At 47.7% G+C, this 26,285-nt stretch overlaps 1 protein-coding gene and 2 pseudogenes across 2 annotated transcripts in view, besides 2 other annotated features; 2 read left to right on the top strand and 1 right to left on the bottom strand.

The window, feature by feature from the left end:
* The window catches only part of PDCD6IPP2 (PDCD6IP pseudogene 2), a 66,741-nt pseudogene that overhangs the window by 653 nt on the left and 39,803 nt on the right, over nt 1-26,285 (bottom strand). The window contains exons 11-13 of the transcript NR_037599.1: nt 22,544-22,646; nt 17,100-17,234; nt 9,086-9,183 (exon numbers count right to left, since the gene is read on the bottom strand). The product of NR_037599.1 is annotated as a PDCD6IP pseudogene 2 (transcript). The remainder of the gene's footprint in view (nt 1-9,085; nt 9,184-17,099; nt 17,235-22,543; nt 22,647-26,285) is intronic.
* Nucleotides 7,010-7,144: a silencer, noted in NCBI's record as "fragment chr15:29093924-29094058 (GRCh37/hg19 assembly coordinates)". NCBI's record gives its function as "represses an EF-1alpha promoter that drives an FKBP-Casp9 reporter gene in an ReSE screen in K562 erythroleukemia cells {active_cell/tissue: K562}" and the evidence as "EXISTENCE:reporter gene assay evidence [ECO:0000049][PMID:32094911]".
* Nucleotides 7,278-14,090, top strand: GOLGA6L7 (golgin A6 family like 7). Its single transcript, NM_001365371.2, has 9 exons — nt 7,278-7,423; nt 8,730-8,858; nt 9,673-9,702; nt 9,972-10,022; nt 10,111-10,204; nt 10,287-10,393; nt 11,659-11,717; nt 12,047-12,188; nt 12,482-14,090. The coding sequence occupies exons 1-9, from the start codon at nt 7,373-7,375 to the stop codon at nt 13,685-13,687; spliced, it is 1,869 nt and encodes a 622-aa protein (NP_001352300.1). The 5' UTR covers nt 7,278-7,372; the 3' UTR covers nt 13,688-14,090.
* Nucleotides 10,896-11,442: an enhancer, noted in NCBI's record as "NANOG hESC enhancer chr15:29089626-29090172 (GRCh37/hg19 assembly coordinates)". NCBI's record gives its function as "activates a minimal SCP1, AML or CMV promoter by ChIP-STARR-seq in primed H9 embryonic stem cells {active_cell/tissue: H9 hESC(primed)}" and the evidence as "EXISTENCE:reporter gene assay evidence [ECO:0000049][PMID:30033119]".
* Nucleotides 24,740-24,956, top strand: LOC100129687 (C-X9-C motif containing 2 pseudogene; annotated as a pseudogene).

The following is a 26,285-nucleotide window of genomic DNA, read 5'->3' as shown; positions in this document are numbered from 1 at the left end:
ACTTCTCTCACTGTCATCTTTGCAAAGCTGGTCTCACCATTTATTGAAGTGAATTTTCTTTTTTCTTTTTTTTTTTTTGAGACGAAGTCTTGCTCTGTTGCCTAGGCTGGAGTACAATGGTGGGATCTCAGCTCACTGCAACTTCCGCCTCCCGGGTTCAAGAAATTCGCCTGCCTCAGCCTCGCCATGCCTGGCTGGTTGTATTTTTAGTAGAAATGGGGTTTCACCATGTTGGGCCTCACAACACACATCAGTCCATCTCCTCTCCTGTTTGGCAGGGATGGTCACGATCCTCATTTCCCAGTTAAAGAAGCCAAAAGTCCATTATGGGGTTTCACCATATTGGCCAGGCTGGTCTCGAATGCCCGAACACAAGTGATCCAAGCGCCTCAGCCTCCCAAAGTGCTGGGATTACAAGTGTGAGCCACCACACCCAGCCAATTAGGAGTAAATATCCAACATTTAGCCAGGTGCAGTGGCTCACTGCTTAATCCCAGCACTTTCAGAAGCTGAGGTGGGAGGATCACTTGAGCCCAGGAGTTTGAGTCCAGGCCTGCCAACATAGTGAGACCCTGTCTCAACAAAACATTTAAAAATTAGCCAGGCATAGTGGTGTGCGCCTCTAGTCACAGCTACTTGGGAGGCTGAGATGGGAGAATGTTTGAACCCAGAAGGTCAAGTAAGCTGTGATTGTGCCACTGTACTCCAGTCTGCATAACAGAGCAGACCCTGTCTCAAAAAAAATAAAATCCAAAATATATAAATAATTGATACAACTCAAAACAAATAACCCAATTTTTAAAATGTTTTTAAAAAAGAACTCGAATAGACCTTTCTTTAAAGAAGACATAAAAATAGCAAGTGGGTATCTGAAAGGTGTTCCGCATTGTAGGTCATTAGGGAAATGCAAATCAAACCCACTGAGATACCACCTCACACCCCTTATGACCATTATCAAAACGTCAAAAGATAAATGTTGGCAAGAGTGTGGAGAAATGGGAACTTTTGCATACTATGGATGAGAATGTAGATTGATACAGCCATTCTGGAAAAGAGTATGAAGATTTCTAGAGAAATTAAAAATAGAACTACCATATGACTCAGCAATCCCTCTTCTGGACATGCACCCAAAGGAAATGAAATCATTACTTTGTAAAGATACCTGTATTGTCATGTTCATTGCAGCCTTAATCACAATAGCCAAGATATGGAAACAATCTAAGTGTCCATCAATGGATAAATGGATAAAGAGACTGTGGCACACACACACAATGGAATATTATTCAGCCCTAAAACAAACAAGGTCTTGCCATTTGCCACAAGATGGATGAGGCTGGAGGACGTCATGCTAAGTGAAATAAAGCATACACAGAAAAGCAAATATTGCATAAACTCATTTATATGTGGGATGTAAAAATGTAAATAAATAAATCTACAGAGATAGAGAGCAAAACATTGTTTACCAGGGGAGGTAGGAGAGGGGAGGAATTGGGGACATGGAGGCCAAAGGACACAAAGTAGCAGGTATGAAGGATGAACAAGTCTAGAGATGTAATGGATGACATGAGGACTGCAGGGAACAAAATTGTTCTGTATGTGAAATTCATGCTCAATGAGTAGATTTCAACCGCTCTTGCCACAAAAGCAACAAGGAAATGGGGAACTATGTGAAACGATTGGTGTGTTAATTTCTTTCAGTATAGGAATCTTTTTACAATCTATATATAACTTTTAACATCATGTTGTAAGCTTTAACTATACACAAGAAAATTTATTTTTAAAAAAGAAAAATTGACAGTCAAAGACTGACAAAGCAAAGACTAAGTAAATAAAAACAAGGGTAACTGTATTTATAGCTGTTAAATGAAAAAAAAAACAACAAAAAATGAGCCACCGACTGAGGCAAGTGCCTGCATCTATAGAGCTTTGTGGAGCTACAATTTGACGACACCCCCGGAAAAAACACAAGCCACAGAAACTACTGTGACCCGTGCTTTCCAAAGAGGGTTTTGGGAACTCAGTATGTAAGGGGAGAAGGCAGGCAGGAGAGAAGAAAGGGAGGGGGAGCAGGCAGTGAAGGGGTGGTTACATTCTTAGGAAGCTCTAATTAGTGCTCAGTAAATCTTCATTTTACATAAGACGAGGTAAACATTTGAAAAGAGGGAGGAAAGAGTCAATTATGAAGCCATCTCAGGATAGCCTGAAGAGTGCTTGATCTCATGTTCTTGTTCTGTACCTGGGAAGATAAACCTGTATTCAACATTGTCAGTGTCAGATTGAATAGAACTCAGTGTCACATCTTAAACTGAGGTTGCAGAGCCAGGGTTACAACTGGCATATGCTTATTTTATAGGGGGACATGGATCCTGAAAGATTTAGGGGCTAGCAGGGAATGTCCCTGTGAACAGTTTGTAAGGGGGGCCATATGGAGAGGTATGTGGCCTTTTGTGGTAGTGGGGACCTGGCTTATGTCTAATGCCATCACACAGGGTTGTGAAATGGCAGCTATCTCTTTGGGGAGAAAGAATGGCAGTTTTGCATGACTAAGCTCCCAAACTTACGTCTCCCTTACCATAACAGGTTTGGCGTTCCAAGACTTTATTTTCTTTTACATATTAAAAAAACTCTAATGAAAGAGGTATATGAGAGATAAAGAGGGTATTTCCTAATGATAAAAGGGTGCAACCAGCAGGGAGAAAAAGGAATTCTAAATGTGTTTATGCCTGGTAACTTAACCTTAAAACACACAGAACAAAGCTTAACAAACGAAAAAAAGAAATAAGTTGACGATGATTGTGGGAAAGTTTCATATCTGTGTCTCAGCCACTGAAAAATAGACAAACATCAGTAAGGAAATAGAATCTTTAAAGGATGCATTTAACACGCTCCGTCTAATTGAGATACGTGGTACACTACGCTCAACATGCAGAATACATATCCTTTTCAAGTGCAGAAGCAATATTTATAAAAATTAATCATATTTTTAATCATTGAGAAGACACAAATTCCAAAGAGTTTTAGTTATACAAATATTTAATCACAGTGGAAGTGTAAGTTTGGAAATTAAGCAAAACATTTTTAGTATGGTAAAGGGATGAATAAAATCAAAGTTTGCTTTTTTGAAACACTGATAAAATTGATGGCCCCCAGCAAGATTGATTAACAAAACAGACAAAAGGCACAAATTCTAACCGCACACCTTATAAGTATTAAAAAGATAAATGAATAATAGAACAACTTTGAAATTTTAGATAAAATGAACAAATTGATTCAGCAAACACAGGTTACCGAAATGAATATTCATATATATGTAATTGAACCTGTAATTAAACACCTTATAAAGAAAACTACAGTCTCACATGGCTTAATAAGTGAATTCTTTCCAAATGCTTAAGGAAGAAATAGCACACATCTTACATAAACTCTGTCAGAAATAGGAGAAGAAACATTTCTCAAATTGTCTAACCAGCATAGCTTTAATACTTCATATTAAAACCTCACAAGTCTGGGTGCAGTGGCTCACGCCTGTAATCCCAGCACTTTGGGAGGCTGAGGCGGGTGGATCACGAGGTCAGGAGATCGAGACCATCCTGGCTAACACGGTGAAACCCCGTCTCTACTAAAAAAATACAATAAATTAGCCAGGGGTGGTGGTGGGCGCCTATAGTCCCAACTACTCGGGAGGCTGAAGCAGGAGAATGGCGTGAACCCGGAAGGCGGAGCTTGCAATGAGCCGAGATCATGCCACTGCATTCCAGCCTGGACAACAGGGCGAGACTCCGTGGCAAAAAAAAAAAAAAAAAAAAAAAAAACACACAGAAAAACTTAGACTCCACTTTCTCTTGTGAACGTAAGTACAAAACTACCAAATGAACTAGGAGCAAACCCATCTCAACCATATATAATATGGTATTAATCATTTATCACAACAAAGTTGATTTAATTCCAAAATGCAATGTTCAACATTCAAAAGCCAATCACTGTTAAGTTACCTTATCAACATAAAAAGATAAGAAAAAACACTGCTCAATCAAGAAAGAAAAAAGCAATTGATACAATTCAGTACCTATTCATAAATCTTAAAACCTGTGTAACAGAGAGGAAGCAACATGTGAGTTAAACACTCCCCCAGCTGAGAATAGTGACATAACTTATTTGCAGCCAAAAGATGAAAATTGCAGGCCAGGCGCAGTGGCTCATGCCTCTAATTCCAGCACTTTGGGAGGCAGAGGTGGGCGGATCACAAGGTCTGGAGTTCAAAACCAGCCTGGCCAACATGGTGAAATCTCGTCTCTACTAAAAATACAAATAGAAATGAGTCGGGCGTGGTGTCATGCGCCTGTATTCCTAGCTATTAGGGAGGCTGAGGTAGGAGAATCACTTGAACCATGGAGGCGGACATTATGACAGTGAGCCGAGATTGTGCCACTGCACTCCAGCCTGGCAACAGAGCAAGACTGCGTTTCAAAAAAAAAAAAAAAAAAAAGGATGAAAATTGAATTGCAGTATAATTTTACAACTTTTGAGAAATCTGTGTTTTTCAGCTAAAAAGAGACAAACTCAGCCTTTTGACCTTTCATCTTTCCCTCCTTGGAAGGCAATCCAAGGCCTGGAAAAACAGCAGCCACATTGTGACCACAAGAATAGAAACCAGGCTAAGGAAGTATCAGGAAACTGAAAAGAACCCTGGACTGCCTTCCTCTGCACGTTTTAAGTGACAAAAATGAAATCTATATTTCTTTAAGTCACTGAATCAGATTTATTCTTTCTGTGGCTACATGTAGCCCTAAATGATGTATTAAATACTAAAATAAATACTAAAATACACACTAAAATACTAAAATTTTGGTCTTGACTCCTGATCTCAGGTGATATGCCCATCTCAGCCTACCAATGTGCTGGGATGACAGGCATGAGCCACCACACCCACCTCAAAAGCTTTGTGTTTTAAAATATATTAGACATATCTCTAGTTTAAAAAAAAAAAAAACTTAACAATAATGTAGGAGAATAAGAGAAACTTTTTCCAAAAAAGAGAAATCACTGTGATTATTTTATCTTATTGGAATGTTGGATAATATAATCTGCTTTACTAATCATTAAGCACGCTGTAAATTTTCCATTACAACAGGATTTGTACCTCAACTAAGGTGATAAAGTTTTAAAGTTTAGAAAGTGAGTCCCTCTCCCTCTCCCTCTCCCTCTCCCTCTCCCCACGGTCTCCCTCTCCCTCTCCCCACGGTCTCCCTCTCCCTCTCCCTCTCCCCACGGTCTCCCTCTCCCTCTCTTTCCACGGTCTCCCTCTGATGCTGTGCCGAAGCTGGACTGTACTGCTGCCATCTCGGCTCACTGCAACCTCCCTGCCTGATTCTCCTGCCTCAGCCTGCCGAGTGCCTGCGATTGCAGGCGCGCGCCGCCACGCCTGACTGGTTTTCGTATTTTTTTGGTGGAGACGGGGTTTCGCTGTGTTGGCCGGGCTGGTCTCCAGCTCCTAACCGCGAGTGATCTGCCAGCCTCGGCCTCCCGAGGTGCCGGGATTGCAGACGGAGTCTGGTTCACTCAGCGCTCAATGGTGCCCAGGCTGGAGTGCAGTGGCGTGATCTCGGCTCGCTACAACCTCCACCTCCCAGCCGCCTGCCTTGGCCCCCCAAAGTGCCGAGATTGCAGCCTCTGCCCGGCTGCCACCCCGTCTGGGAAGTGAGGAGCGTCTCTGCCTGGCCGCCCATCGTCTGGGAAGTGAGGAGCGTCTCTGCCTGGCTGCCCATCGTCTGGGATGTGAGGAGCCCCTCTGCCTGGCTGCCCAGTCTGGAAAATGAGGAGCGCCTCTTCCCGGCCGCCATCCCATCTAGGAAGTGAGGAGCGCCTCTGCCCGGCCGCCCATCGTCTGAGATGTGGGGAGCGCCTCTGCCCCGCCACCCCGTCTGGGATGTGAGGAGCGCCTCTACCCGGCCGCGACCCCGCCTGGAAGGTGAGGAGCGTCTCTGCCCGGCCGCCCCGTCTGAGAAGTGAGGAGACCCTCCGCCTGGCAACCGCCCCATCTGAGAAGTGAGGAGCCCCTCCACCCGGCAGCCGCCCCGTCAGAGAAGTGAGGAGCCCCTCCGCCCGGCAGCCACCCCGTCTGGGAAGTGAGGAGCGTCTCCGCCCGGCAGCCACCCCGTCCGGGAGGGAGGTGGGGGTCAACCCCCGCCCGGCCAGCCGCCCCGTCCGGGAGGGAGGTGGGGGGGTCAGCCCCCCGCCTGGCCAGCCGCCCCGTCCGGGAGGTGAGGGGCGCCTCTGCCCGGCCGCCCCTACTGGGAAGTGAGGAGCCCCTCTGCCCGGCCAGCCACCCCGTCCGGGAGGGAGGTGGGGGGGTCAGCCCCCCGCCCAGCCAGTCGCCCCGTCCGGGAGGTGAGGGGCGCCTCTGCCCGGCTGCCCCTACTGGGAAGTGAGGAGCCCCTCTGCCTGGCCGCCACCCCGTCTGGGAGGTGTGCCCAGCAGCTCATTGAGAATGGGCCATGATGACAATGGCGGTTTTGTAGAATAGAAAGGGGGGAAAGGTGGGGAAAAGATTGAGAGGTTGGATGGTTGCCGTGTCTGTGTAGAGGGAGGTAGACATGGGAGACTTCTCATTTTGTTCTGTACTAAGAAAAATTATTCTGCCTTGGGATCCTGTTGATCTGTGACCTTACCCCCAACCCTGTGCTCTCTGAAACATGTGCTGTGTCCACTCAGGGTTAAATGGATTAAGGGCGGTGCAAGATGTGCTTTGTTAAACAGATGTTTGAAGGCAGCATGCTCGTTAAAAGTCATCACCACTCTCTAATCTCAAGTACCCCGGGACACAAACACTGCAGAAGGCCGTAGGGTCCTCTGCCTAGGAAAACCAGAGACCTTTGTTCACTTGTTTATCTGCTGACCTTCCCTCCACTATTGTCCTATGACCCTGCCAAATCCCCCTCTGCGAGAAACACCCAATGATCAATTAAAAAAAACAAAACAAAACAAAACAAAAAAAAACATTATATTATCGACTATACCTTAAATTATAATAAAAAGTTATATATGTAAAAAAAAAAAAAAGTAAGTGAAAGCCAGCCCCGCCCCTCTCCCAGAGTGGGCGGGGACAGCAGTTCCATGGGAGGCTTTCCTTGTGACATCACAGGACCTTCATGACCCGCAGCTGCCTGGCCCCGCCTCCTTTCCCTTTCATCTTTCTCATTGACCAATGGGCTTGGAGCATTAAGGCCACGCCCCTTTTCCGCATTCTAGTGCAGCCCCGGTGACGCCTCCTGTGGCTCAGTCACATAGCTGTGTGGTACGTGACTGGAGGCATATCACTGTCCTCGCCTGGATCACGCCAATGTGACCCCAACCCCACCACCCTCCCCACCCCATGATGTCCGAAAAAACCCAACAAAGAAAATTGGCTGGGACCAAGAAAAAGGTAAAACGCATCGGATTGCAGCACCCCAACCCCAACCCAGCCCCAGGTCCCCTCTGATGGCAGAACAGCTGCCAGAATCCGTGTCACTCCAGAGGCACGCAGGGCCGGGCCCCCCCCAGTGCCTCTGGGCTCCCCCAACCAAAATCTTGTGTCAGCCCCAACCCCTCAGCAGTCCTGCCCCTGCCCTCACCGGTCACCCCAGGGTGACTTTCAGCCGGTGACTCGTGGGGCTCCCTGCTTTGTACTCTGCCCTCACCTCCTATTGTCCAAAAATGGATCTCCCTGGGCCCTTCGGGCTCACGTTCCCAAGGAACCGGATGCCCCAGCACCTGCCCTCACCAGTCACCCCAGGGTGACTTTGGGCAGGTGACTCCTGGGGCTCCCCACTCCATACTCGGCCCTCACCTACCGCTGCCCCAAGCCTGACTTCCCTGGGCTCTTTGGGCTCACGTCTCCAAGTACCTGGGTCCCAACCCTGTGACCCCATGCCAATCTCAAAGAGGCAACTTGGGCACAGCACTGATGGGATAATGGGTTTGGTTTGGTTTTCTCCCAGGCTTCTACTCTCCAGAGAGACTTTAACAGTTTTTTCTAAGTTCTCCACTTCATATTTGAATTCTCCATGGTTCTGGGACCAGAGTGCCCATCAGTCAGTGATCTTTGAAGTGAGATTTGCTCATCTTCTGTGCAAGAGATCTTGGGAAACTGGACTTGACAACTTGAATCTTCCTCATCTCATCTCAACCTGGGGTACTTTGAGTGCCACAGGATACATATGGGGCATCTTTCTGAAGCATCAGTTTTCCTTGATTCTCGTGGGAGACACAAAACATTAATGTTCTTAGGGATGATAGTCACATAGATTTCAAAGAGTATACAAGACTTCTCTCTGAAATGCAGCTTGGGTTGTCCTCTTTCTGTTTAATTCCCACATTTAACAGAAAGGCTGCCTTCTGCCCTGAGGATACATGACTCTAAGAGGATGTACGACTGTAAACCACACAGTGTACACCTTCCTGCCTACTTTTTACTTTTCTACCTCTGCCTCTGGTTTTGGTCTCTGGCAGCTGCTGATTTGTGGCAACACCCCAGAGCTCAGAGTCAGAAGACTGAGTTTCAGTTCCATTATTGCCTTTCTTTTAGCCATGGTATCAATCCCTCTCAGTCACTAAGTGATTGCGACAACACCTCGTACAGTCGTTGGTGGCATTAAGTCAGATCGTCTATGAGAGTATTTTGTATAAACTGTAAAGTGACTGTAGGAGCTTGTAGTTCTCATGAGTATCACTGCTCCTCTTTTCCACAGTTTACAGACTATCATCAGTGGAACAGTGCTGGTGTTGGTACCGGAGCAACCGACACCAAAAAGAAGAAAATAAATCATGGCGCTAACCCTGAGACAACCACTTCGGGGGGCTGCCACTCGCCTGAGGATGTGAGTCTTGGCTGGCCGGTCTCCTGAGGACAAGGGGCACAAGGGGGAGGTCGAGGGTAACTGTTAAGATTGTGGAAGGAAGAACTGCTGGGTACTGGCTAAGAATTCTGGGTTTGAGTCCTACTTCTCTCTCCAACTGCGAGGGACACGGTTTAGGGAAAATTGCTCGAGCTCTTTGGGCCTCTCTTTTCACATCTGTAAAATGGGGATGGTAATGTTTTACTTACATGTGTGAAGCTTAAATCAGATTTGTTGCTGTTGTTTTTGTGTTAATCCCTAGTCCAGGGCCTGCTGTAAGCTCCCCTCCTCTTTGGGCTTCCGTTTCCTGAGGAGGTAGAGTTAGAGTATCAGAGGTTCTGTTTGCTCTGAGAGTCTGAGATTTAAAGATTCACTAGAATGGAAACCTTGGGGCCAAGGGCTCCTGTCTGCCTTTTCCGTCCTATATCCCAGCAGTGAAGAACCGTCCCCGGCCCCTATGTGCTTGCTCAATGCTTGTTGAATGAACACATCTTTCTCCATCACAAGCTGGCAGAAGGGTGGGCTTTTCTCACACTCTTATGTCGGAAGGTTTATGTTACTGTCTTTTCCAGAGAATCTAGTTTCAGACTTTCAGTTCTGTGGCTGTGGGCAAAAGCCAACAAAGACCCAAATCCTTTTTCTTTGGGCGTTAAGGAAAGTTGACCAGTTTGTGTTCCCATTGGGTCTGAGAACTTTGCCCTTAAAATCCATTCCTGACCCCTGCCTACCGCTTCCTGGCCTGGGGAATAGAGTCGAGGGACCACCCTCAGTCACCTTCCTTTGACTCTCCCCACAGAAACAACAGAACCGAGCTCAGCTGAAAGAGGTAACATGGTTTCTTTCTTTGCTCACGACATGACCGCTGGGTTTGGGGGGCACTCAGATGTAGAGGCCCCAGTCTCGTCTCGCCTACTCCCAGCTTGGGGAGGAAGGCTCACCTCCCAGCTTCCACCCCATCCCCACAGGGTCCCTGATAACCTGGTCCCATGGGTGGGCCTGTCCTGGGACAGTGGGGCCATTCTGGGGGCATGTCTCTTGCTGTGCCATCTCTGCCTCCCTCTAGTAAGAGCTCTGTCTTCCTCTTCTTTTCTATAGGAAAATAAGGCAAGCCACCAACATCAGCAAGCCCTAAGGAGGCAGCTAGAGGTGAGTGGAGGGTGTGAAGTTCCCTCCTGTCCTCTGGAGAAGGTTTCTTTGCTTCTCTTTCAGCACTTGCTTTTCTTGTCTCCCAAAGGCCCAGGATCATACCATACGAATCCTTATGTGTCAGAAAACTGAACTGGAGACAGCGCTCCATGACAGCCAGGATGCTGCCAGGAAATTTGAAGGTGGGAATCTGGGCACCCCGTCATCCTTCAACCTGGCACTTTCACAGGCCTTTGGGCTGCAGCTCAACCTCTCTCATTCCAGAAGATTCCAAGGATCTGGCAGCCCGCCTGCATCATTCCTGGCACTTTGCAGGAGAGTTACAGCGGGCTCTCTCTGCTATGTCCGCAGAGCACGAGAGGGCGGACAAGGTGAGTCCAACCACCTACCCGGTCCCCTGGGAGCCCAGCTTCGCAGATGGAGGAATGAGCCTAAAGGTCCCTTCTGCAGGATGCAGTGTCCTGCCCAGAAGACAGCATGGGCCATTTCTTGCTGCTTTTGTGCGTGGTTGTTAGAGGCAGGTTGGGGCTGAGTCAGCTGCTGTGGGTGAGTTGCGGGGCGCTGTGGGGAGCGAGCACTGGACACAGAGCTCGGAGGCCAAGTGCCCACCCCACCCATACTTGGCTGTGGCCTTGGTCAAATCCTAGGCGGAGTTGAGGGTACTTGTACCATGAAGGTACAGAAGAGTATCTTTAGTATGTTACCATTTGTGTAGAGAGAGGGAACACATGTACGTGTGTGTGTGTGTGTGTGTGTGTGTGTGTGTGTGTGTGTACGTACGTATTATGGTAATATACATAAAACATGTTTGTAAGGATTCATAAAAAACTCAGGAGAGAGGAACAGTGTTGGGGGAAGATATTTCCCTTCTGTACCTTCTGAGGTTTGGACTATGCCAATGTATCATTCTTTCAAAAATCAACAAAGGATTAATTTCCTCCTCCTTATCTGTGCCCCTACCCCCAACCAAAAGAATGGGCTTAGAGAATCAGATATACCTGGGTGTTGAAATCCCAGCTCTAAGTGATCTTAGGCAAGCACTTAACCTTTAATACCCCATGTTTTTCATCTACACAATAGAGGTGATAATGATAACTGTCTCCTGTGGTGGCTGTGAGGATTAAATGGGATTGTTAGCATAGTGCCTGGTGAAGCACTCAAGAAAGGTTCCAACAGTGGTAATAATAACAGTAATAGCAATAACAATATTATCTGATCGCTCTGGGCCCCTGTTAGCCAGCTATCAATTCAGTCTCTTTCTCTGTGCCTTCCACCCTTACTGAGTTCTCCGAAAAACAAGTGAGAGCCAGGTGCAGTGGCACATGCCTGTAATCCCAGCTACTTAGGAGGCTGAGGCAGAAGAATCGCTTGAAGCCGGGAGGCGGAGGTTGCGGTGGGGTGAGATCGCGCCATTGCACTCCAGCCTGGGCAACAAGAGCGAAACTCCATCTCAAAAAAAAAAAAAAAAAGAAAAGAAAAACAAATGACACCACGGGTTTGGAAACGCCTTGAGAACATGTCGGGTGTGACGGAGAGGAGCAAGTGTTACTGTGGAGTATCAGTGTAGCTGTCGTTACTGGTCGTCCAGCTGCTCCTCTGCCTGCTGTATCCTGACTTGACCTTTCTCTGTTTGCAGTACATCAAGGAGTTAACAAAGGAGAGGGAAGCCATGAGTCTGGAGCTGTTCAGGAACATGTAGGATAGGGGAGGGGGGGATGGGAGGTCTGAGAGCCCTTAGCGTGGGTGGTGTGCTGGGAGGTGGGGGGTACAGGTGAGCATGGTAGGGGGTCATACAGGTTTACATGTGTGTGCAGGGAAGCTCCAGTGCCGGCTGTGCCACTGACTCATGGGGTAGCCTCAGGCAACTCATGTCTTCTCTCTGGCCTGCCACCTGGGACTTTTAATTCCTGGGGTCCCTTCCAGTGCCACGGTTCTGTGGTTGTGGGGCGAGGGTAGAGGGTCGATCACCAAAGCGGTCCTTTCTGTTCTTCGTTCATTCCTTTCTCTACTGCCTCCGGCCATAGCATAACCAATAAGGAGCTGAAGGAGAAAAATGCCGAACTACAAGAAAAACTTCGACTGGTAGAAACTGAAAAGTCTGAGATCCAGCTCCACATCAAGGAGCTAAAAAGGAAACTGGAGACGGACAAAATCCCGCTGCCACAGGTGAGCGGCGGCAGCCCCGGGGGTGTGGGAGCCGCATCCGGCTGGGACATGGTCTAGGGATCATGCAGGGTGTGGGGAGGCTCCAGCCAAGAGCTGGAAAATTTGGGTCCTTGTTCTGGTCCCACCACAGAATCCTCTAGAGTGTGCTAAAAATCTACAAATTGGGACCATGCCTGGGAAATCAGAACCTCAGGGTTACGGCTTAAAATTTCTTTTTAAAGAATCATAGACGAAAACCGTTATTTTATAGATTACATTTATATACCTAGCTTATGACTCTATTTCCTTTTGAGGTTCAAACCAACACTTTGCAGGAGAAGATGTGGAGGCAGGAGGAGGAGCTACGGGATCAGGAGGAGCTACGGGATCAGGAGAAGCTACGGAAGCACGAGGAGAAGATGTGGAGACAGGAGCAGAGGCTGCGGGACCAGGAGAAGGAGCTGCGGGAGCAGGAGCAGCAGATGCAGGAGCAGGAGGAGCAGATGCGGAAGCAGGAGGAGCAGATGCGGAAGCAGGAGGAGCAGATGCGGAAGCAGGAGGAGCAGATGCGGAAGCAGGAGGAGCAGATGCGGAAGCAGGAGGAGCAGATGCGGAAGCAGGAGGAGCAGATGGGGAAGCAGGAGGAGCAGATGGGGGAGCAGGAGGAGCAGATGCGGAAGCAGGAGAAGCAGATGCTGAAGCAGAAGGAGCAGATGCGGAAGCAGGAGGAGCAGATGTGGAAGCAGGAGGAGCAGATAGGGGAGCAGGAGGAGCAGATGCGGAAGCAGGAGGAGCAGATGTGGAAGCAGGAGGAGCAGATAGGGGAGCAGGAGGAGCAGATGCGAAAGCAGGAGGAGCAGATGTGGAAGCAGGAGGAGCAGATGGGGGAGCAGATGAGGAAGCAGGAGGAGCAGATGGGGGAGCAGGAGGAGCAGATCCGGAAGCAGGAGGAGCAGATGGGGGAGCAGGAGGAGCAGATGCGGAAGCAGGAGGAGCAGATGGGGGAGCAGGAGGAGCAGATGCGGAAGCAGGAGGAGCAGATGGGGGAGCAGGAGGAGCAGATGAGGAAGCAGGAGGAGCAGATGGGGGAGCAGGAGGAGCAGATGGGGGAGCAGGAGGAGCAGATGCGGAAGCAGGTGGAGAGGCTGCAATTCAAGGAGGAGAGGCTGTGGGATGAGTATGAGAAGATGCAGGAGGAGGAGGAGAAGATCCGGAGGCAGGTGGAGAAGAGGCGGGAGAAGAAGGAGAGGATGGGAGAGCAGGAGAAGACGCAGGAGGAGCGGTGCTCAGAGCCCTGCCTCCCTCCCTCCAAATATCCTTCTGATATGAGCCACCCTGGCAGCCTGGAGCCTGCACGAGAGGCCGGGAAGGGTTATTCCCATGACAACCGCACTGCACAGATCATGCAGCTGCCCCCTGGAATGAAGAACGCCCAGGAGCGCCCAGGCTTAGGCAGCACCTCCTGCATCCCATTCTTCTACGGAGGAGACAAGAAAAAGATCAAGATCATCAGTATCTAAAAAGAACGGTCAACAAGGCCTACAGAAGTGTAAGCCGCCATGTGACCTTGTGAATACAGTCTGAGAACAAACTTGAAAAAAAGAAAATTTATTTTAAATTGTGGCAAAATACTGGCCGGGCACGGTGGCCTGCACCTGTAATCACACCACTTTGGGAGGCCTAGGCGGGTGGATCACCAATCCCAGCTACGTGGGAGGTTGAGGTTGCAGTGAGCTGAGATCACACCACTGCACTCCAGGCTGGGTGACAGAGTGAAACTCCCATTTCAAAAAAAAAAAAAAAAATTCTACCTGAGGACTCTAATATCTATGTATGTTTCTATTGTTTTTTTTGTTTGTTTTCTCCTTTTGTCTTGCGTTGTCTTGTCTTATGGCATGCCTAGTAAAGTTTTATCTGCCTCCAGAGAGTACTGACTTTGACTTTATGGCACACAATTGGCGTTCAAGCAGATCGCCTTCATCTAGTTTGGGACTAAGCTGGCTCAAAGCAGGTTTTAGTTTTTGTGACAGCTGGTCTATTTTTTATTCTTTTGGACTCTTAGGGGTGGCCCTTCCAGGATCCCCACCAAGGTCTCATCTCCTTACTGGGACCCAAATTCTCATTATGTCATTTCAGCCCTGTGAGAGTGCCAAACATTCAGCTAGGCTCTCCAGCCTCTTAACTATCACTTCATACTCAGTTTCTTAGCCTCTTAGCCCTCTACTGTTGACCGATCACCAAATGTGGGAAAAGCACTAAGGACTGTCAGGATCACCTCCTAGGCCTGGTCACTCAAGTCCTGGCTGAGGTCCCCAATTACCTTCCAACAATTGTTTTTGATGGTGGGGGGAAGGGGGGACACATTTTTGTCCAGTTTTTCTAACTGTTCCTGTGGGGAGGCTAGTCTATAACAAGCTACTCTGCCTTTAATGAATGTTGAAAACCTTTTTTTTTTTTTTTTTTTGAGATGGAGTCTCACTCTGTTGCCCAGGCTCTAGTGCAGTGGTGCAATCTCTGCTCACTGTAACCTCCACCTCCTGGGTTCAAGCAATTCTCCTGCCTCAGCCTCCCAAGTAGCTGGGATTACACGCATATGCCACCACCCCTGGCTAATTTTTATATTTTTAGTAGAGACGGGATTTCACCATGTTGTCCAGGCTGGTCTCGAGCTCCTGACTCATGTGATCTACCCGCCTCGGCCTCCCCAAGTGCTGGGATTACAGGCGTGTGCCACTGCATCCAGCCCATCTGTCTTTTTAAAAATGTTTCTAATTTGAGGTATAATTTATATTCCGTGAAATGCACAGATCTGGTTTACATTTTGATGACTTTTAACAAATGCATTACCCATGTAACCCACCTCCTTTGAAGATATGGAACATTTTATCATCCACAAAGTTCTCCTGTGCTTTCATCCTGTCCGGCACTCCCCCAGCAGCTGATGAACATGCTGAGGACATTGGTACAGGATTCTGGCCTCCCCAAAAGAGCTGCTTTGACAAGCCTGCTTGCCTTACCCAGCACTAAGGGTTCTCTCAAAATTTCCATCTTTAAACTGCTTGTACCTATAACCCTCCCACATCAAATCCATAGATAAACCAGCCCACAGCCTAATATTTACTGTATACCCAAGCTTTCAGAAATACGACTCCCAGGAGTGGGGACTGGTGGCTGCATCCCCTCCTCCTCCTGGAAGCCTCTACCAGCCTACAGAGCCCACAGAGTAGATCTCACCAGGCAGCCTGAGCCTGAAAGTGCCGTGGAGCCTCCTGCCGGTTCACCCTCACTACGGTGGCAGCTGCACGGGAGCACCTGGGCTCACTCATTAAGCAAGAAGACATTGGCTTGATACTGACACTCCAACCCCAGCCTGGGCGAGCCTGGCTGAAAGGCCCCTTCCTTCTGGTCAGACTGTGGGGAGACGCGGCGGAGCATACACACTCTACTGCCCTCCTCATGCTTCAGCTGTGCTTCCTTCTTAACAGAGGGAGCCGCTCATGGATTTGGCCAAAGCCTTCCCGAGGGCTGTAGGTTTGACAGGCTGGGTGTGTAGGGGCCACCGTGCTAGAGAGAGAGACTGGTGTGTCAGAAGGCAGCCACCTGGCCAGAGGGGGGTCAATCCCCTTGGTAACCTCCTTCCCCCAGCTGGACACAGAGCCCTGCACTCTCCACATGTGACTGCTCCCCTCAGAGCTGCCACCAGAAGAGGGGTTCTAACCCTGTGGGTGAGGACATTGTGTTACTTTACAGTGGGCCATGGCTCCCTCTGACATCTCCAACTCAGAGGCAGTAGAGAGAAGATGAGAAATTCCCTGCGCCTCTAGTCCTAGCTACTTGAGAGGCTGAGGCAAGAAGGTCACTGGAGCCCAGGAGTTCAAGGCTGCAGTGAGCTATGATTACATCAACGCATTCCAGCCTGAGCGACAGAGTGAGACCCAATCTCAAAAACAACAATAATAAGTTAAACATAAATCTAACTACCACATTATTGGCCAGGTGCAGTGGCTCACACCTGTAATCCCAGCAATTTGGGAGGCTGAGGCGGGTGGATCACGAGGTTAGGAGATGGAGACCATCATGGCTAACACGGTGAAACCCAGTCTCTACTAAAAATACAAAAAAATTAGCCAGGCATGGTGGCGGGCGCCTGTAGTCCCAGCTACTCAGGAAGCTGAGGCAGGAGAATTGCGTGAACCCGAGAGGCGGAGCTTGCTGTGAGCTGAGACGGCGCCACGGCACTCCAGCCTGGGTGACAGCGAGATGCCATCTCAAAAAAAATAAATATGTAAGCATTCCACATTATTGACCAATTCCACTCCTAGGTATAGACACAAAGAATTAAAAGCAGACACTCAAGACACTCGTAAACCAATGTTCATAGCAGCATTACTCACAACAGTCAAGAGATGAAAGCAACCTGATTGCCCACTGATGAAGGGATAACATGTGGCTTACATATATAATGGAATAGCATTGAGCCTTTAAAAGAAAATTCTGACACATGCGGATGAACCCCAAACACCTAAGAAGTTCAATAACCCAGTCACAAAAGGACAAATACTGTATGATTCCCCTTATAGGAGACACCTTGAGTAGTCAAATTCTGAGACAAAAGTAGAATGGTGGTTGCCTGGGGACAGAAGGAGTTAGTGTTTCATGGATACGGAGTTTCAGTTGGAGAAAGGGCAAAAGTTGTAGAGATGGATGGTGGTGATGGCTGGGCAATAATGTGAATATACTTAATGCCAATGAACTGTACACATAAAAATGATTAAAATGGCAAGTTTTACGGTATGTATATTTTACCACGATATTTAAATTTTTTTAATTACATTTTTTAAAATTGTTACCAAAAAATACGAATAATCCATCCAAGTTATTTAGAAAAGGAGCGTCAGATCAAGCTTTCCAAAGTGCCAAAACTCAGATTACCTGGTTGCTTGACCCACACCCAGGTCTCCAGAATTGACTTGGCCCTATATACAGGTGCAGGAGTTTCGTCTTCATTTTTTTTCTCTTTGTCATTCAGATCTTCTTTCTTTGTTCCACTTGGTTCGACACTACCATCTGCAGAATTAAAAAATTTCTTAATCTGTCACCGCTTTTCAGAATGTCATACCATTAGTCTCTGCAAATGTCCCTCCCCGAAAAGTTACAACACACATGATTAACTGAATGGCATGCGGTGTCCCCCACCCCAGGGCTGTGAGCATGCGTGACTAATAAACTGCTATTTCATCTGTCCAGTGTCGGTGTCCTACGTTCAGCCATCCCATATCCCTAGGGCAGGAATCTTCTAGGGTTATAAACAGAACTTTAATCAACCTCTCCTTGGTTATTTTACTGGTTCCATGATACAGCTTTTTCCGTGCAAAAGATCTGAACAGAAACTTCACAGAGGATACAAGAGTGGCAAAGAAGAACACGATATTCAGCATTCTTAGCCATTACGGAAGTGCAAATTAAAACCACAATGAGATCCCACTAGACTTGTTAGAATGGCTCAACTAAAAAACACTGATAACACCAAGTGCTAACAAAGACACAGAGCAACAGAAACGTGACAGATTGCCAGTGGGAATGCAAACTAAAACAGCCACTTCGGAAAACAGTTCAGCACATGACCCAACTTTCACACTACTAGGTCTTTATCCTAGGGAAATGGAAACTATATTCACATAAAATCTGTATAGTAATGCTCACAGCAGGATTACAATTGGGAAAGAAAAATGGAAACAACCACAAGGTCCTACAATGGCAGAATGGATAAACACCATGTGGTACATCCAAATGATGAAATACCATTCAGCAATAAAAAGAACTATTAATACACAGAACAGCACATAAATCTCAAACATATAACTGGGAGTAAATGAAGATGGTTTCAAAATGTTACTTAAAATATGGTTCCACTCACATGACATTCTCAAAAAGAATACCCCATACTGATGGAGAACAGATCCGTGGTTGCCAGGGTATGAGACCAGGGAACACGTGATAAAAAGGAGCAGCACAAGGGAGCTTTTGGGGTGAAGAAAATTCTCCATCCTGATGATGATGGGGGTTACATGAATCTATAGAGGTCAAAATTTACTGAACTACATACCACAATAAAATAAATTTCATATAAGTTTTTTAATAAAAATATGTTGGCTGGGGGGGTGCGGTGGCTCACACCTGTAATCCCAGCACTTTGGGAGGCCGAGGCGGGTGGATCACAAGGTCAGGAGTTCGACACCAGCCTGGCCAACATGGTGAAACCCTGTCTCTACTAAAAATACAAAAATTACCCAGGCTTGGTGGCACGTGCCTGTAATCCCAGCTACTTGGGAGGCTGAGGCAGGAGAATGGCTTGAACCTGGAAGGCGGAGGTTGCAGTGAGCCGAGATCACACCATTGCACTCCAGCCTGGACCACCGAGTGAGACTTCATCTCAGGAAAAAAAAAAAAAAAAAAAGAAGAAGAAGGAAAATATCTAGGTCCAGGGAGGACAGCTGGAATACAGTCTGGTGGAATCATGTCAGAGCAGGGAGCTGGGTCTGGAGGGCTGGAGCAGGGTGCGGCCCCACTCTAGGAAGGAACTAGGAAAGGCATCCTGGGTGAAGCAAGAGCAGAGTCCCGTTCTGCAACAGGTGAGCATTTATCCTGATCTGAGAAACTACATGCAAATTTAATACGTCTCACTTAGCCTCTTATTTTCCTTAACAGCATGGAAAATGAGAGGACAAACAATTCAGAAGGTTAAGACATGAAATACATTTAATTCAGAAATCATACACAGAAAGGTAGGAAATGAATGGGGGAAAAAAGCAGCTAATGGAAAGTGAAAATGGGCCAGATGTGGTGGCTCACTCCTGTAATCCCACCACGTTGGGAGGCCGAGGTGGGCGGATCACTTGAGGTCAGGAGTTTGAGACTGGCCTGGCCAACATGGTGAAACCCGATCTCTACTAAAAATATCAAAATTGGCCCGGCATGGTGGCAGCCACCTGTAATCCCAGCAGCCCGAGAGGCTGAGGCAGGAGAATTGCTTGAACCTGGGAGGCAGAGGTTGCAGTGAGCTGGAATCTCGCCACTGGACTCCAGCCTGTACAACAGAGTAGGACTCTGTCTCAAAAAAAAAAAAAAAAAGTGAAAATAACCTAACATGTACTATGCAAAGCATCTGGCCTAACAACAATACATTACCCTTTTAAATCTTTACAAACAACCTTGAAGGAGGCAGGCTTTGTTGTCTCCAGTTTACCAAGGTAGATAGACATCTTGGGTCACAGAATACACAGCAGAACCCAGCCAGGAACACAGCTCAGGTGAGAACACAGGTGCTGGCTCTAAATGCCAGACTCTGCCCTACGTGTGTGTATGTGTGTGTGTGTTTGGGGTCACTAACCACAGCCCAGGGGCCAAACCCAGCCCACAGCCTCTTTGTGTATGGTCTGAACGCAGAGAAAGTATTTTATTTTTGTTGTTCTTTTGAGACAGAGTCTTGGCTCATCACAACCTCTGCCTCCCAGGCTCAAACGATTCTCCCAGGTTCAAGTGATTCTCCTGCCTCAGCCTCCGAGGAGCTGGGATTACAGGCGTGCATCACCATGCCCGGCTAATTTTTTGTTTTTAGTAGAGATGGGGTTTCACCATGTTGGCCAGGCTGGTCTCGAACTCCTGACCTCAGGTGATCCGCCTGCCTCAGCCTCTAAAAGTGCTGGGATTACAGATGTGAGCCACCACGCCCGGCCACTGTATTTTATATTTTTTAATAACTGAAAAACAATCAAAAGAAAAACAGTATTTTGTGACTTGCAAACATTCTGTGGACTTCATCTTTTGGTGTCCATAAATACACTTTACAGAATGAACGTCCCCTGCCCGCTGACGTGGTATTGTCTGTGGCTACTTTGGCACTAAATCTGCAAGGTCTCATGGCTATGACAGAGACCATAGGGTCCAGTGAGACCTTAAAATATTTACTATCTGGCCCTTTAGAGAAAGTAGGCCACCCCTACCCTACAGCTGGCTATAAATTTTACATATTAAAAAAATGCAACATTCTTAATTTTAATCTCAGTACACTGGAACACTGCTCATCTCCCTTCTTCAAGATGAAAAGCTTCGACAGTCACCAGGAAGCAGACAAGAACCCTAAGTACACCTCAAGAGTTATTCTCAGGAGCATAAATTACAACACTTTACAACAGCAAAAGCAGGATGAAGTCACTGGAGGCCACGAAAACAACCAAGAGTAATTAGCACCACCAGCTCAAAGACCACACCACATCAACTTCAAAGTTGTCTACTCTTCCTTTCACTACTGTAGGGTTCAAAGTATACATAGAGAAAATCGAACACATACTACCCAAACACATTGCTTATGGAATGCTGCAGAGAAGGGAAGCGAGACCTCCCATTGGCCAGGTGTGGTGGCTCATGCCTGTAATCCCAGCACTTTGAGAGGCCAATGTGGGAGGATCACTTGCACCCAGGAGATCAAGACCAGCCTGGCCAACACAGCAAAACCCCATCTCTACTAAAAATACAAAATACGGCTAGGCGTGGTAGCTCACATCTGTAATCCTAGCACTTTGGGAAGCCAAGGTGAGGGGATCACTTGAGGTCAGGAGTTCCACAGCAGCCTGGCCAACATAGTGATACCCCATCTCTACTAAAAATGTGGCTCACACCTGTAATCCCAGCACTTTGGGAGACCGAGGCGGGTGGATCACAAGGTCAGGAATTCGAGACCAGCCTGACCAACATGGTGAAACCTCGTCTCTACTAAAAATTCAAAAATTTGCCGGGCATGCTGGCGTGCACCTGTAATCCCAGCTACTCAGGAGGCTGAGGCAGAGGATCGCTTGAACCTGAAAGGCGGAGGGTAGTGGTGGCGGGCACCTCTAATGCTAGCTACTCAGGAGGCTGAGGCAGGAGAACTGCTTGAACCCAGGAGGCAGAGGTTGCAGTGAGCCAAGATCACGCCACTGCACTCCAGCCTGGGCAACAGAGCAAGACCCTGTCTCAGAAAGTAAAATAAAAAATTCATAGTCTTAATAATGGAAAACAAAAACATTTACTGAATGTCAAAACATCTCCCTAAAAACCCCAATCAGTTGGATTCTACATAAAGAACAATTATGCTCTGCTTTCTAACCATGATTTTTAAAAGAACAAAGGACAAAAAAAGTCATCAAATGTGGTCCAGGCACAGTGGCTCACACCTGTAATCCCAGCACTTTGGGAGGCCGAGGGTGGATCATGAGGTCAGGAGTTCAAGACCAGTCTGGCCACTATGGTGAAACTCTGTCTCTACTAAAAATACAAAAATTAGCTGGCCGTGGTGGAGGGCACCTGTAATCCTAACTACTCTGGAGGCTAAGGCAGAGAACTGCTTGAACCCAGGAGGCGGAGGTTGCAGTGAGCCAAGATCATGCCACTGCACTCCAGCCTGAGAGACAGAGCAAGACTCCCTCTCAAGAGGAAAAAACAGAAACAAAAATTCATGAAATGTAATAAATAAAATATACACTTTGGATTTTTCCATGTACTTAGCTTTTCTTAGAGCATCTTTTAGAATTATTGTTTCACAAAAAACACTTTGGGAAACGTTTTAATTTATTAACAAATACTGGAGGGCTAGGAAGAAGAGGTTAAAACTTTTCAAAATATACAGAATGAATTACTGATACGTGTTAAAAAAAAAAAAAAAAAAAGGTTGCTGACTCCTGTCATGGAAGGCACTGTCATATGGACACTCCCAGCCTCAGCATCCGGAGGTCCAGAAAGGGAAAATTTCAAGTCAGAGAGAACTCTATACATACCATTTGTTTGGAACCTTCGGCCCTTAAGATCCCAACATTATGACCTCAGTTTCAACACAATTGTCCTTAGTCCTTGTATTGGTTACAAATACAAAACAAACAGCTCAACTGAACTAACTCTTTTCTCTCCAGAAACACAAACACAAGACCTCATAAAAGGAGTGAGTTTCTAGCAGCCATAATTACTGCAACTTACTTCTCCAATTTTCCCCTCGACAGTTAACTCAACAGCTCAAAAACTATCAGTAACAAACAACAGTCACCATGATATGGTTAGGAGTGTAGCAGATTTCTCAACCAGTAATAATAATTAAGAAAAAAATTTTCCCTATTAATAAATCTCATTTCCTGCACTTGCAAGAAACTAATTAAAAGGCAGCCGCGCACGATCTACAAAAACAGCCATAAAGACTGTTACATTTTAAGTTACAGGAAACAAACCTGCTCCTCTAATATAGCAAGATACAACTGACTTCCCCTTACATACCCTAAAAAAAAGCCTTACACGAGAAATTTAAACATGGAAGCAGAAATACACCAAGAAAGAGACATGTCAAACCCCACCTGTATATCTGTTTTCAACCATTCGGTGTCAAGGCGAGCCTGGGCAGCCAAACACAAAGATTCAGAGGGCATCTTTTCTCCAGCTTCCTCCCAGGTCTCAGGCCTGCAAGTAAACACACATGTTGAAGACCTAACGCTTCTTAATATTTTACAAAGACACTCCCGAAAGGTTTAATGCAGGAAAAAAAAAAGAGACAGAGAACAAAAAGATGGGAGAGAAGAGCTGGGGGACGGGAGTGAAGTGGAGAGAGGGAAAGAGGGAACAGATGGAGGGAGAGGGAGGTGGGGAAGGGAAAGCCGCCTTCCAAGGTAGGCAGGGTGTGCCTGGTTTCTCAGGAGGCCAGATCACAATGTCATCCCCCTGCCCTCAAATCCAAAAGGTACACACACACGACAGAAAGCCCATCGTTTTTTGTTTTGTTTTGAGATGGAGTCTCCCTCTGTCACCCAGGCTTGAGTGCAGTGGCGGAATCTCAGCTCACTGCAAGCACCACCTCCCGGGTTCACACCATTGTCCTGCCTCAGCCTCCCGAGTAGCTGGGACTGCAGGCGCCCACCACCACGCCCAACTAATTTTTTGTATTTTTAGTAGAGACAGCGTTTCGCCGTGTTAGCCAGGATGATCTCGATCTCCTGGCCTCGTGATCCGCCCGCCTCGGCCTCCCAAAGTGCTGGGATTACAGGCTTGAGCCACCGCGCCTGGCCAAGAAGCCCACAGTTTGAACGACAAATGACAGCAGCATGAATCTGCCGCTTTACCCTACAGCAGGGCGCCTGCGTGAAACAAATTACTCAAAAGGATCACCTGCAGAAAAACCCACAGCCACCACCACTTAGAGACGGAGAGAGACCGGAGGCTGAGCCGCGGGCGGTCCGCGCAGGCCCCCGTTCGGCCGCCCGCCAACCCCGCGCCCGCACCTCCTCCGACGCTGGCAGCCCCGGTGCCCCAGGCCGGGACCTGACGCGCAGGGCCCAGGCGCCTCGCCCCGCTGGCTTGCGGACACAGCCTCCTAGCAGCCGCTGGCTCAGGCGCCGCCAGGGATCCTGATGCCTCTCGCAACCCCAGCCACCCGCGCTTAGGGCCAATCGCAAGGCGGCTCCGTGGGCGCAGCCAATGGGGAAGAGGAGCGCTTCGCCGCTCCTCTGGACTCTCCCGCTTCGTGCAATGCGGTTTATCTTCCTACTTGGGAGCCTACCGGCTGAGGCCAGGGGGCAACCGCAGGCGCCAGAAGGCGGGATTTCCGCGGCACGCACGCACACCCGCACTCCTACGGAAGTCAGTTTCTCACCACCTGAATTATTTGAACTTAGCACCACTAAACGTGGAGCAATCAGGTACAGAGTGCTTCCAGATCTCATGTAATAGAAATCACTGACATCATCTATTTTTTTTTTTGAGACAGAGTCTCATTGCGTCGCCGAGACTGGAGTGCAGTGGCATGGTATCGGCTCACTACAACCTCCACCTCCCGGGTTTAGGTGCCTCAGCCTTCCGAGTAGCTGGGATTACAGGCATCTGTCACCACACCCGGCTAATTTTTGTACTTTCAGTAGTGACGGGGTTTCATCATGTTGGCCAGGCTGGTCACGAACTCCTGACCTCTGGTGATCTGCCCGCCTCAGCCTCCCAAAGTTCTGGGATTACAGGTGTGAGCCACCGTGCCCGGCCTATTTCATATTTTAAATATTAGAAAAGTAGAACTTGGCCAGGTGTGGTGGCTCACACCTGTAGTCTTGGCACTTTGGGAGGCTGAAGTGGGAGGATCGCTTGAGCCCGGGAGTTCAAGACCAGCCTGGGCAACATAACAAGACCCTGTCTATTCAAAAAATAAAATTAGCCAGGTGAGGTGGCACGTGCCTGTGGTCCCAGCTACTCGGGAGGCTGAGGCAGGAGAATCGCTTGAACCCCAGAGGCGGAGGTTGCAGTGAGCCGAGATCGTGCTACCGCACTCCAGCCTGGGAGGCAGAGCCAGACTCCGTCTCAAAATAATAATAAGCAGCAGCAGCAGCAGCAGCAGCAGCTTCGGCGGTGGAGGGCCACCCCCGGGCATTGGCCACCTGTGGAGTGACCTGGCTCTTGGCTCCCTGGCAGCCAGCTTCTGGGTCAGGCATCTTCGTTGGTGACTGCCCCTTCAGCTCTCCTGGTGTGGCCGTGAGTGGTGTGGCACTGCCGTGACCCATCTTTTTGTCTTAAAGATGCATCCTGACTTACCTCCACACTTGCACACTCAAGAATGCAACATCGTGATTAACTTGCTAAAAGAATATCACAAAAATCATAGCATTCGAAAATTTTTTGGTCATTGCAATGATCTGGATCAGGCAATGAGAAAATAAATGCTTGAAGAATGAGTACATGGAAAAGAGGACCAAGAGCAGAGAGTATGGCAATTTGATGCAAAAGAGACTTTTTTTTTTTTTTTTTTTTTTTTTTTGAGACGGAGTCTTGCTCTTTCACCAGAGCAAGTGCAGTGGCTCAATCTTGGCCCACTGCAACCTCCGCCTCCTGGGTTCAAGCAATTCTCCTGCCTCAGCCTCCCATGTAGCTGGGACAATAGGCCTGTGCCACCACACCCAGCTAATTTTTGTATTTTTAGTAGAGACAGGGTTTCACCATGTTGGCCATGGCCAGGATGGTCTCGATCTCTTGACCTTGTGATCTGCCTGCCTCAGCCTCCCAAAGTGCTGGGATTACAGGTGTGAGTTGCTGTGTCCAGCCGCAAAAGAGACTTTTTAATTCTCCAGAGGAATCTGAAAAATAAATTGCATTTTCACTGGATGCCTTGGCTGAGAGAAGACCAAAAGGCTATGGGTTGGCCCGGGCATGGTGGCTCACACCTGTAATCCCAGCACTTTCGGATGCCGAGGTGGGTGCATCACCTGAGGTCAGGAGTTCAAGACCAGCCTGACCAGTATGGTGAAACGCTGTCTTTACTAAAAATACAAAAATTAGCCAGGCGTGGTGGCATGGGCCTGTAGTCCCAGCTACTCGCAGGCTGAGACAGGAGAATCTCTTGAACCCAAGAGGCAGAGGTTGCAATGAGCCGAGATCACGCCACTGCACTCCAGCCTGGGTGACAGAGCGAGACTCCGTCTCAAAAAAAAAAAAAAGAAAAAGAAAACGCAGAGTGCATAGCACATGGTAGATACTGACACTGCACTGAGTCTCTTACACACATCGTCTCATTTTACTCTCACAAAACCCCAGGAGTTTGGTATCTTTATTCTAATTTTTGAGAAACTGAGGCTCAAAAATATTAGGGATATGTCCAAGGTCACACAATGAGTAATTTGTAGATCTGAAATGCAGACAGATCTCTCATTCTGAGCCAAGCGCTTTGACAGCACAGAAGGTAGAGAAACAAAAGTTCCCTGTGGAGTTGTGGGATGCTTATTGAAGGTAGCTCATTTGGTGTGGAAACCAAACACAAATGTGCATTAGCGGGAGTCAAGGAGGAAGGAGGAGGGAGGGGAGTAGATAATTTCATTGCAGGCTGAAGGAGGAGAATGCTAAAGATATTAATTTGTGAAAAAAAAACTTGGCAGTTTTAGTAATTTACTGGTGTGAGGAGAAATAAAGTTAAGAGTATGAATGGTGTGGCGGCAGATCATATGAGAGGTATAGTGAAAATTTACAGAATCTGCTGACCTCAATGTCAACAAAATTAATGGGGCCCAACTCTGTACCTGTCATGACCAAGTTTTAAATTTTTCTGTAGATAGGCTGTTCCTTCCAAAGCTT

The sequence above is a fragment of the Homo sapiens genome, chromosome 15, assembly GCF_000001405.40.
Source record: "Homo sapiens chromosome 15, GRCh38.p14 Primary Assembly".
NCBI classification, from domain to species: Eukaryota; Metazoa; Chordata; class Mammalia; order Primates; family Hominidae; genus Homo; species Homo sapiens.
Note: the sequence above shows the minus strand (reverse complement) of the source record. Positions and strands in the feature narration are given on the sequence as shown.